This window comes from Homo sapiens, chromosome 18 (assembly GCF_000001405.40).
Source record: "Homo sapiens chromosome 18, GRCh38.p14 Primary Assembly".
Taxonomy (NCBI): Eukaryota; Metazoa; Chordata; class Mammalia; order Primates; family Hominidae; genus Homo; species Homo sapiens.
This window is the reverse complement of record NC_000018.10, coordinates 57,421,147-57,433,564: the sequence shown is the minus strand read 5'-3', so window position 1 is coordinate 57,433,564 and position 12,418 is coordinate 57,421,147. Positions and strand designations below refer to the sequence as shown.

Below are 12,418 nucleotides of genomic sequence, written 5' to 3'. Positions count from 1 at the left end.
GCAGATCCTCTGGTTTGCCAGACATACTTTTCTGGTTGCTCACATCTCTAGTGTCACAACAGGAGCCAGGTAAAATAACTCAGATTTTGGTTTCTCTGTTTTTCCTCTCCTCCTCACCCCCTCCTACTGTCTCTCTTCGCACTCCCTACCTTATATATGGCATCTGGACACTTGGGATGATTTGAGTCAGTTAATGTTTGAAATATAATACTGAGTTGAGCAAAAGTTCACGAGAGTGCAACCTGTTCTTGGTCCATGAGTGCACAGGGACTGAAATACAGCAGGAGAGAAGCAGAACTGGGAAGTAGTGGGTCTGATATGCCCCAGTGCTAAGGTAGCCTCTGCTGCTCTGCTGGCTTCAGTCTCAAGGAGTGGCCAGTTACCCTAGGCTGATGCTTCCTCCATACAGAAACCTAGGTATATAAATTGCCATTTAAATAAATTTTCAAAATGTTAAACTCATTTGCCAGGACACTGAGATAAACCTGCTTTTGGGAATTATATTTCGGTGTGCCTGGGAGCAGAAAGGTGAGTTGCATTTTCTCGCTGCCTCGCTTCCTTCCTTCCTCCCTCCCTCCTCCCTCACTCCCACCATCCCTCCGCCTTCCCTCGATCAATATTGGCGATCTCAGGGAAATCATGAAATCGTATTGGCTTCTTTGTGTATAATTTCATTGGACTAGAATTAAAGCAGATTTTTCACGTTGTTTTTATAATGGTGGTTTGAGGTTTTATGTTTCAACCCAAAATCCATTTAAAAGGAAAATGGATGTGCTTGTTTAGTGAGCACCCTAATTTTTACTGAATTAGGTTTGGATGCCCTTTTCTCTTTCTTTCTAAAAAGGAACAATATTTGTTTTTTACTTCAAGACAATTTTTGGAGTATCAATACTAATACGATTTTCAAGTATTTTTTGAAATATTTTTGATGTTTCTTTCTCTATAGTTCTTTAAGAAAATATAAGGGAAAGTGGCTTTCTAACTGCCCCTTGTTTAGCATCCATACTTTAACCTTAAGAAGTTCTGCAACTTGGAATTTTTTCTTTTAATTTGAAGTTACACTCCTCTTCTCCCCCCTCCCCACCAGCATTTGATTTACAAACACACTGTATAGAAATGTGGTATGATAAGTGCTAATTCACGGCTATTAGAATCTGGACAAACAGTTGTACCAAGCATTATATCAGGACCTGGATATTCACTTAGCATGCCACATTCACAGGTCCAATTTTCTTGAAGATCAGAAACTTAAATGGGTCAAAAGAAGCATGAAAATAAAATGCAGCTTCGACAACAAGACTATTATAGGCTATTGCACTGTAAAAGAAAAACATTCTGAACTTGAGTTAGCAATTGCAGGAAAATAACTATTTACTATCGGAGTTTTTCGTATGTGTTTTCCACAATAAAATTGTTTTTAGGTATAGAGAGACACACACAGAGAGGTGAACATTCAATTAAAAGAGATACTTTATAAATTATTCACGGAAAAAGATAAACAGACCACAAGTAAACCCAATCTGCATAAGGGGCCCAATATCTTTGTTTTTACTATACAACAGTAACCACGACCCAAATCTAGGGTAGAGGAGAGCTGCTAATTTCTACCCCAATGCTCGAAATCTTGTCAGGTTTTGTGTCAGGGTAGAACACATTTATGCTACAACTAGGTTATCAGAGCAATACACACACAAAAAAACATAATGGTGGGTTGATTTGGACTATTTTATTTTTGTCCTTCCCCAAACCATCTGGCGTGTTAGTGTAGGGGTATTGATCAGGGATCTGTGAGCTGCAGACCCCATGCCAATCCATAGCGTTTCTGGCAATCAGCGTCGCCCATGAATTGCAGCTGTCTGTGCAGCTCCTCAACAGAAATCTTCAAAAAAAAAAAAAAATTTCCCTCCCTTATCAAACACATCATCCGTTCGGGGGTAAGTCAATATCATTTCTTTGTCATTCTGAGGGCGAGGATTATGCGGTAGAAAGTTTTTGTTATCTGTTATAGCTGCTGCTGCGCCTGCCTTTTTTTTAAAAAAAAAAAAAAAAAAAAGGAAGGAGAGCAATTTTCTAGCCTTTGAATGGTAATGGTTTTCCAGAAAGGCCTCAAACGTTTGTAAGAATGGGGCAACAAATGCTGTTTCAATATTGTAGGGGAATTTGAAGAGGACAAGGAAACTCTTAGGTCGCTATACACAAATAATAGTAGTGATAACACAAGGTTCCTTTTCACGACAGAGAATTTTCTCCCCTTTCCTCGGATCCCCTGGTAATGAAGACAGGGCAAGTCTCTGTGATTACACGTGCAGATGGACAGTGGGTGCTTGTGGCGGAAAAGGGGCCCTCGGAATTGTGGCTCTGTTTGAGATCTTCATTAGCTTCAGGTTTCTTCTGTTTGAAAGCTCGGGCTGGCTGAGCCCAGGGAGAATAAAACTAAAACCGAAGCCGGGCCCCACTAATTCTCTTTGGCCTCTCAGCTCAGAAATTCACTGTCACAATTCACCGTCACTTTTCAGATTTGCCAGTTGGATCTTGGAAAGTTTTTGTTTGTTTGTTTTTCTGGGTGGTGAGGCCAAACGCGTCCTTTTTTGTCTCCTTCTTCTTCGTTAATCTTGTTAAAATTCAAAACGCCAGGTTAGCAGAGCTGGCAGGGGACTGCCCTTAACTTTTTGGTTGACAAAAGATACTTTGCGTGAGGGCAGGGAGAGATATGGGGTTGTTAGTCTTGTTCTCACCCTTGTCCGGCCTCTTAGGGAAAGGAAAAAGAAGCGACAGGAGCCCTGCGTGCTGGGGGAAGGTTCTCTCCGAGCCCCAAGCCCAGCACCTGGATTAGAAGGTGGGGGAGTAGGGCTGCGGGAAGCAAACTATAGTTTCCTCCGAAGTCCAGACGCCGAGAGTGGGCAGGCTTGAGAGAGGGGAAAGGGGAGGAGACCCCACCCCAAAGGGCTTTGGCACCTGCTCCAGGGAGTGTCAGTCTGCAGGGGAAACCGGAATCCCAGCTCTGCCTAGCTAAGCTGCTAGCGCGTCCACCTGTCTAGTTTAAAAGAACACCAGGGCGGCCGACCTTGATCGCCCTCCTCTACCCATATAGATAGGGGACTGTTGAAGTTTTGTGTCTTCGGGAACCGCTTACTTCCCTGACACACACACACACACACACACACACACGTACATTTCTTTGCTTCTCCAGCTCCCTGCCCTCTCAGGGTTTCCACAGCCCCCTCCCGTGAGGAGTTTGGGTGGAAGTGGGTGGCCGGGCCTCTGATCCGGACCGGTCCCCAGGACTGGGGGCTGGGACTGCGGTCCCTTCCAGGGACTTTCCTTCCTCCGAATTCGGGGCCAACTGCAGACCCTTTCTGCAACGCCCCACCCACCCGATTTTTCGGATGCTAACGCTGCAGAAGCTGGTGGGAGAAATAATTCTACTCTTTTGGGAAAATGAAATTCAAAGGAGGGAAGGTTGAGGATTCGAACCTGCAAATACCCAAGGGCTTCTTTTTGCGGAAGGGGTGGGGGAAGCACAGCTCTTAGGGGAACGGAGATTTTGCTCTAGAAGAAAGTTTCATTTTAAATAGGCAACTTAGTCTGAGAACGAAGACAAAATTTCCCCTCACCGACTTTCAGTTTTGCTCGCGCTATCTGTCCCTTCTGCCCCAAAGCCCCATAGCTTCGATTTTTAAGTTGAAAGATCTGCCGTCACATTTTCTCTTTAAAGGAGGGTTCCAAAAGTACAACTCAAGTATGGTTAAAATAAACTTTTCCTCTCTTCTAGTTGTCACCCCACAAAAGAAAAACTGGCATGATGTCCCTTTGTTCCGGTCAAGTTGTGCGTGAAATCTTTTTGTCGTCCTTTCCAAAGGAAGGCAAAAGTTGCAGTTGATTGTAAAAAGGACAAATTTAACTCCCTGAAAGTGGAGCTGTTTTCAAGTTGCCCTGAGACACTAAGCACGGGTGTTGCTTTTATTTATTACCCTCTTAAAACTATCATTTATTTGCCCTGAAAATACTTTTTGATTGAAGATCCAATATTGTTTAGGCATTAGTACAAAAACTATTTACGTCCCCTTCCAATGAAAATCCGAGAGTTAAAAAATCTTTGTGTATAATTTCAATTGTCTAGCTACCATGGAAAAAAATTTCAGACGGAGTATTAAAAAAAAAAAGACTTGGCTAGATTTTAAACTTGAGAAATATGATCTCCGATTTCAAAAGGCAATATTTCTATTTGGAAACTAACAAAACCAACCGAGGGGTTGAAATAGGTATGCGAATCATATCGTTTTTAAAAATCGTATATTTTTTCAGATTCCTCGAGTATCATCTCCCAAAGAAATAAAAGAACCAAGTGAATCTGAGCTAATCTTTTGGGGTAACACGATCAAAAGTAACAGTACATTCAGATTATTTTAGGATCATTTTAGTTTGGAAAAGTGCCTCGATGTCACTATTACGTATGTTGTTTTGCTTGCAAATGTGAAAGGGAGAGCGACTCTGGCGGACTCAAGGGTCGGAGGTGGCCGTTTCGCAGCCGCCGGGGCCGTGGTCGTTGGAGAAGCGGGACCTGTTCCCCGCGGCCCACGCGAACCAGCGCCCCGGCCGGGCTCAGTGGGCTCGGCGGCCTCGAGAGAGCACAAGCTCTGAGGGCGTCCCGCCGGCCCGGCTGGAAGAGGGACGCGGGCGGCGCTGCCGACTCGGAGGGCTGCGAGAAACCTGTTGGCCACGAGGAATCGGTGTTGGCGTGGCGGCTGCGGCGTCGAGGCCGCGGGCGCGGGGTGGCGGCGCAGGCCGCTCCCTTTGCCCGCTCGGCGGAGCCCGGCGTACCCTAGGTCCGCTTCTCGGGGACGGGGCGGCGCGGCCCCGCAGCTCGGCAGGCGGAGGGAGCCGGCCAGGATTGATGTCTAAATCAATGCGGTTTCTAGGCGCTTCTCCCGACTCCTCTCCATCTTCCTCAAAGGCAAAGCGCCTCCCGAGGATGGAGTTCCACGACATTCGCGAAGTCTGCGTGAGGATGGTGTCTGTGGGCCCCACGGCCGCTGCCCCACGCCGGGCACCCGGACCACGCACCGGCCAGGAGGGCCCTGCTGACGAGGGAGTCCAGCCTCGGCGGGGCCCCCGCCTGTGCCCTCCTCCTTCCTTTTGCTCCCCACACCTGGGGGCTTGCTTCCCCCTACACTCGGAATGGCGCCGGGTCCAGGCGGCTCTCGCAGCCTCGGCGCAGGGCGAGGCCTGTCCGCTCTCCGCGCTGCCCACTGGCTCCCCAATTTGACAGGATTTGAGAGGAGCGACCCCTCGTCTCCGACTCCAGGCAGGCCCGGCGGCCTCTGATTTAATTATTCGCTGATGAATTAGACAGCTGCAATTGTCGTGAAAAGTCAGCGGCCACTATTGATTCCAGGGCCGAGGGGAGGGGCGGGGAAGGGCGGGGAGGCAGCCCAGGCCCTCGGGTGTCCTTGGCCGCGCGACCTCTCCCGGCCCCGGCCGCCAAGCCCCAGGGCCTCTCTCCGTGCTAGGCCCGGCGGGCCAGATGTGGCTAGTGTTCGAGGGGCCGCAGGCCTGGCTCCCAGCTCGGGTCTGTTCTACCCACGGCGGCGGAAGCGACGGGGGAACTGAAGACGAGGCGGGGGCGGGAGCGACGCCCGCTCCGGGCTTGCGGGGAAGAAGGCGGCCCCCGGGGCACTCCCAGGGCGTCCCCAGCCCGCCCCCGGCCTGGCGCCCGCGGCCTGGAGGCGGAAGGGCGGACGGCGGGCGCTTCCGGTCCTCGCTGAACCGGCGCCCGGCCTAGAGAGGCCTAGGGAGGCCGCGGCCGGGCTCCAGGCCGGACCGGGCGAAGGTCAGCGGATGGTGGGGCCGCGCCGGTCGGAGCTCTCCGCTGCGGCACGGACGACTCGGCCCGGGGCCCGGCTCCTAGCACACGCCGCCCTACTTGTAGGCAGGATGTGCCGAGCCGGTGGATCCGCGCGAGTTCCCGCCGGAGCAACAAGTCCTGGTGCTCGGAGAACCCAGAGGGCAGTAGGGGTCCAACGCCCCTCTCCCTGCCCTAGGACCCAGTCAGGAATGTCTGTTTTGAGAAGGAGGAGAATCTGGGTGTCCTCAGAACGATTTGGCACAGTTGTGCGGAGAATACCTGCTAGAGAAGCCACTATAGTTAGAGCTTCACAGCCGACACAGAAATGAGAAAGTATTTGATGTATTCAGACAGCCTGACAAAAGCCTTTTTAAATTATTATGATCTATATCAGAAAAACACTGGAAGCCGCATCATAGTCTTTTGGTATACGCATTTTATATCCTCTTCCTGGGTGGTTTTAAAGCCAAATGACTTTTCATTACAATTTGAAATTATTTTTAATACTATAGTTTAAAGAAATGATACATTATGCAGAAAACATATAGACTGTGTTGTCCAAAAACATTAAAGATTTAAGCGCTTCATCTTCAGTGTTTCATATTTTTCTCTCTCTGAAACGACTCAAGTATTTACTATCTTTTTTTATTGGTGAAATGTGTTCTTCAGACTTTATCCTGGAAAGAGTTGAGCACTGACTCCTTGGAGATCAGATATAGAGAGTAAAAAAGGAACCTCGCCACTACATCTCCTGCTACATAGTCCATGGGGCTGAGGATAGGTCACTGCACACAAAATGGCTGTTCCTCTCTCCCTTACTGAGATGGACTAATGGATTTTGTAACTGTTTTCCAACTATCAGACTGAGGAAACCTGGTTTGGGGGCTTCGTGTTGACAGAGACCAAATAGGATGCCCTGTGTCAAATTCTTTACCTTATCAACATAATTTGATAACAAGGTAGTGGAATTATTAAGGGAATTCTGAAACATCAAGTTTTGAAATACCATTTGTAATTATAAAATTTCCCATTTAATTCTTGGAGAACGGTGTGGGTTATGGTTGACTTCAATTTCTAGTAAAGTGAGATGGGGTGGGTGAAGATATTTTTAAGAATTCACAACCCTCCCCCCCTTGGTTAGAGCCATATGATTAAAGCAAATATTCTTTGTGTTTTGAAGGGACATAGTTTTTGCCTTTGTAGATGTTGCTCCTTCAGCGTCTGAACCACTTCTACCTCCACTGTACCTGGTGAATGCCAGCTCCTATCTGAAGTTTCAGTGCTCATTTCTAGACCTCTACACTGAACCGTTTCTACCCCACTGCACCTGGTAGAGTGGTGGGTGAACTTCCTATCTGAAGTTTCAGTGCTCTTTTCTAGAGCTCTTTGATGCTATTTCATCTGGCGAATGCCAGCTCATATTTGAAGTTTCAGTTATCACTTCTACATCTCTTCTGTGCAACTATTTGCATATCAAATTTCCTTAAAAAAGTTTTTTTTTTTTTTTTTTGAGACAGTGTCTCGCTCTGTTGCCCAGACTGGAGTGCAGTGGTACAATCTGGGCTCACTGCAACCTCCACCTCCCGTTCGTTAGCCTCCTGAGTAGCTGGGATTACAGGCACGTGCCACCATGCCTGGCTAATTTTTGTATTTTTAGTAGAGATGGGGTTTCACCATGTTGGCCAGACTGGTCTCCAACTCCTGACCTCAGGTGATCCACCCACCTCAGCCTCCCAAAGTGCTGGGATTACAGGCATGAGCCACCACACCCAGCCTCCTTCAAAAAGTTTTAAACTTTATTTCATGCCCTATACTTTCCAGCTTTTACTCCCCAGTTGGTATTCTAAATTTCATTTTTTAGGGCTTCCTTTTTACTTAAATGATACCATTCATAGTGGTACCTAATACCATGAGATTGCGTAGCATACTTTGGAAAAAATCACGTCTAAGCCTGGTTTAGATTTTTAAAATTTTCTTTAACTTGACTCTTGCATCAAGAAGGATTTGCCCTTGTTAAATATTATAACTTAACTGGAAGACAAATGAGACAGTGACCAGGTGCAGTAATTAGGATACGAGAGAGTGCTTGGAAATTGTGAAGTGTTCTACAAAAATTATGATAATAATTCATTAATTTTATTTTCATTTAAGACTTATTTGAGTGCCTACTATGTGCCTATTAGAATTTTTGGTTGCAAGCAACAGAAGCTGCCTTAGACAAAAAAGTAGGAAAGAACGTCTGAGGAAGAAACCAAATAATTCAGGAAGAATAAATGAGGAAGAAGTGATAGGAAGGCAGGAGAGTGAAGCAGGAACCAATTCCTAGTTCCAAGGGAGACTAGGAATAGGAACAAAGCCAAGATCATGCCCTGCAATAGACTGGTTTAGGAAGCCTCTGCTGACCCACTTGTCTCTGCTGCTGCTGCCGCAGCCAAGAGTAACGTCCACACTGTCCTATGTTTTCGTGTCACTTCTACAAGAGCCAATTAGGGTGTGACCTCTCCTAGAGCATATACTAGAGTCCTGGCCGCCAGGGACTGAGAAAGGAGCACTGCATTTCACCTGTACTGCACACTTTAGGGAGTCACCTCAAAATAGAGTGTTTGAATAGTGGTCAGTAAAAACAAAAACAAATAAATAAAAAGCACCCAAAAATATGTCACCACATAAGTGCTCGCAAGAGAACCATGAATAAGTTAGATGTGGTCCCTGTTCTCATGGACCTTACATTTTAGTGAGGTGATGATGATAACTCCATTTTCTGTATAAAGAGAAAAAACAGTCAGATCCCATCTCAAAGTAATGGACTAAGTTTCCACCTGTTTTTTGTTTGTTTGTTTGTTTGTTTTTTCTTGTTCTCTTTTGACGTGATTGGATGTTGGTCAGAGGAAGTTATAAATGACTGGTTTAGGAGGAATTAGGTCTACTCCATCACCCTCTTAAGGTCAAGGGTGCAGTGAAAACAAGTCCTGGATCAAGAGGCAGGGCCTGCATTCTGGTCCCAATCCTATTATTGTCTAGCTGTGTGACCGACAGCCTGCATTTCCTTCTGTAGATGCTCTTCAAGGTCCCTTCCACATGTAAAGTCTGATTTGATATGGATCCCCTTTTATTAAAATGGGACCTTTATGATGATTGGGTTAATTTCCTATGGGCTCTTTAGATATTTTAATTCTTAATCCAAATAGTTTGGGAGTTATAGCCTTAAAAAGCTATTTCTGATGGAATAAAGCTATAATGATTGACTTCATATTCCAAAAATGGATTCCAAAAAAGGATTCTCTTTTTAAAAAATGAATTTTATTTCCAAATGACCTATTATACTTCAATGAATGGGTTTGTTGCTTTTAGTTTCAAATTATGTACTGAGTTTTTGGTACCTCTCTGTATTTTCAGACCAAGAAAGGCAAAAGAAACAGAACAGAGAGAGAGGAAAAAAACAGTCACAATTTGAAGTGATCACTGAGCCAGAATCGCTTCAGAGTTACGTGACTTCTTAAAATTTACTATAGATTTTTGAGTGGGTATTTCTTCTGAAGAGATTTTAAGTTATTCCCATCTAAGAACTTAGGAAAAAGTATTTTCTTCCAAGTGGAACTATAGTGAAATTTACTATGGGCTCATCATACTCATCATAGTATCTGACTGAAGGATGCCAGGACAGTTTCAAGGGTCATGTTTAACATTAGTTTTGTTACACAATATAAGCAAACAGCAGAAATCCTGGATATTTTGTATTTGTATTCCTGGTGTTTTTTAAAAAACTGGGTGTCCATCAAATGAACACATATTAAACCAGAGTCACTTGCCTTGTAACTGAGCCCTCATATGACCAATTTTAAAAGTGAGTAATACCTTGGAATACCAAACAATCACTTAAAAATATATATACTTAAAATATTGATTTCTGCATGTTGGGATGGCTTACAGTGGTGGGTAGCTGGGGTGGGGTGAGTACGGTGGTCAGTGAAGGAGTTATGTTTTATAGGAATTTATTCATCCTTAATGGGATAAGATTTTTCCTTGTCTTCTCCTCTCCTCTGTGCTACTTCAAATCTCACTCATACTTTAATACTGTGTTTGTAAACTTTCTGGGTGAGACCCATAGTAGGAAATTGATTTTGTGTGTGTATATATATGTTATATATCTTGTATATATATGTTATATATCTTGTATATATATATATGTTATATATGTAATATATACACAATATATGTATGTGTGTATATATATACACACACATTTCAGGAAGGAAAAGAATTTTTTCTCATTTATATTTTTGACTGACAAAAATTTTATATGTTTATGGTTTACAACATGATGTTTTGAAATTTGTTTATATTGCAGAATGGCTAAATTGAGCTAATTATCATATGTACCACCTAACATATTTTTTTTTTTGTGTCAAGAACATTAAAAAATCTACTCTCTTAGTGATTTTCAAGTATACAATATGTACGTTATTAACTGGAGTCACCATGTTGTATAGTGGATCACTATAGCTTATTTCTCCTGTCTAACTAAAATTTTGTATCCTTTGACCAGTGTCTCCCTTCCCCCACTCCCACTCCCCAGCCCCTGGTAACCATCATTCTAGTTTCTGCTTCTATGAGTTTGACTTTTTTAGATTTCACATGTAAGTGAGCATGCGGCATTTGTCTTTCTGTGCTTATTTCACTTAATATAATATTCTCGAGCTAACATATTGAAAGACAAAATCAAGATTCAAAATGGAATATGCATGTTAGAATTACAATAAACATCATGTAATTTTACAAGGACCAATATAAAGTCCTTTATTTAGGCTGAAAAATAGAAATCAAGGGAGGTTCCTGGATTGTGACAAGAATGCATGTGAGAAAGAAGGAAGCATTTATTTACTATAAATGCAAATGGCTCAACAGTATTATGCGGCATGAAAAAAAGATAATGCATTTTTAGGCTGCATTACAAGAAATATGGCATACAACTTACAAGAAAGGTAGCAAATTCCCTGTCTTCTGGGCTGGAGATGAATCTAACTCTAGGTACCTAATTTTAATATAGATATCAATAAATTAGAGCTTACATGGGTCATTAGGATGTGAGGGAAGAGGAAATCATGCTTTATGTGGAAGAGTTAGAGCAAATGTTTAGCCTAGAGAAGAGGCCAATAATGTGGTGCATGGCTGCCACTTCAAATATTTGCATAGCTGTCACGCGGCAGAGAGGTTAGTTTTTCCTGTTCTAAGTCAGAGTTAGGACCAAAGGGTAAAAGTGACAGAGGGGCTGATTTTGATTCCAGTGATTAAAGTTGTCTAGAGGACAGCAGCTTGCCCCATGAAGGAGTGAATTCTTCACTCATATGACTGTTTAGCAAAGGCTTAGTGACTACCTGGCTAGGATGCTATTAGTAGGAATCAGCTGAATTAGGCAGCAGGTTGAAATAGATGATCTCTTTGGTTGAATCCCAGGATTTGCTGAATTGGACATTAAAAAGAATAATATTGTGCTCTCTACTCTTATGAGTTCAACTTTTTTAGTTTCCACAGATGAATGAGATTATATAGTATTTGTCCCTCTGTGCCTGGCCTATTTCATTTAACATATTATCCTCTAGGTTCATCTGTGTTGCCTCAAATGACAGGATTTTCTATTTTTTTGAAATAGGAGAATAGTATTGCATTTCATATATATACTACATTTTAAAATCCATTCACCCATTGATGAACACTAAGGTTGTTTCCAAATCTTAGCTATTGTGAATAATGCTGCAGTGAGCATGGGAGTACAGACATCTCTACAGCATACTGATTTCAATTCCTTTGGGTATATAACCAGTAGTGAGATTGCTGGATCACATGGTAATTCTATATTTAGTTTTTTTGAGGAAACTCCGTACTATTTTTTTCAAAATGGCTCTACTACTTTACTACTTTACAATACTACCAAGAGTGTAGAAGGGTTCCCTTTCCCCCCACATGCTCAGCAACACTTGTTCTCTTCCATGTTTTTGCTGATAGCCAAGCTAACAGGTGTGAAGTGATGTATCATTGTGGTTTTAATTTGCATTTTTCTGATGTTTAGAGAGTTTTTGCTTGCTTCAAGCATTTTTTCATGTATCTGTTGGCCATTTGTATGTGTTCTTTGGAGAAATGTCTATTCAAGTTTTTTGCCCATTTTTAAATAGGATTATTTATTTTCTTGTTATTGTGTAGTTTGAGTTCCTTATATGTTTTGGATATTAGCTCTTTATCAGATGTCTGATTTACAAATACTTTCTTCCATTCTGTTAGTTGTCTCTTCACTCTATTGATGTTTCCTTTGCTGTGCAGAAGCTTTTTAGTATCACGTAATCCCACTTGTCTGTTTTTACTTTTGTTGATTGTGCTTTGAGGTCTTATCCAAAAAGCCCTTGCCCAGACCTATGTCATGGAGATTTTCCCCTGTGTTCTCTTCTAGAAGCTTCATAGTTTCAGGTCTTAAATTTAAATCTTTAATACACTCTGAGTTGATTTTTGTATGTAGTAAAAGATAAGAGTCTAATTTCATTAATCTGCATGTGGATATCAGTTTTATGTGCTCTTGTTACC

General features: G+C 43.2%; 1 annotated feature.

Moving 5' to 3' along the window:
- Positions 7,111–7,160: a silencer, noted in NCBI's record as "silent region_9477". NCBI's record gives its function as "represses an Ori minimal core promoter by ATAC-STARR-seq in GM12878 lymphoblastoid cells {active_cell/tissue: GM12878}" and the evidence as "EXISTENCE:reporter gene assay evidence [ECO:0000049][PMID:35858748]".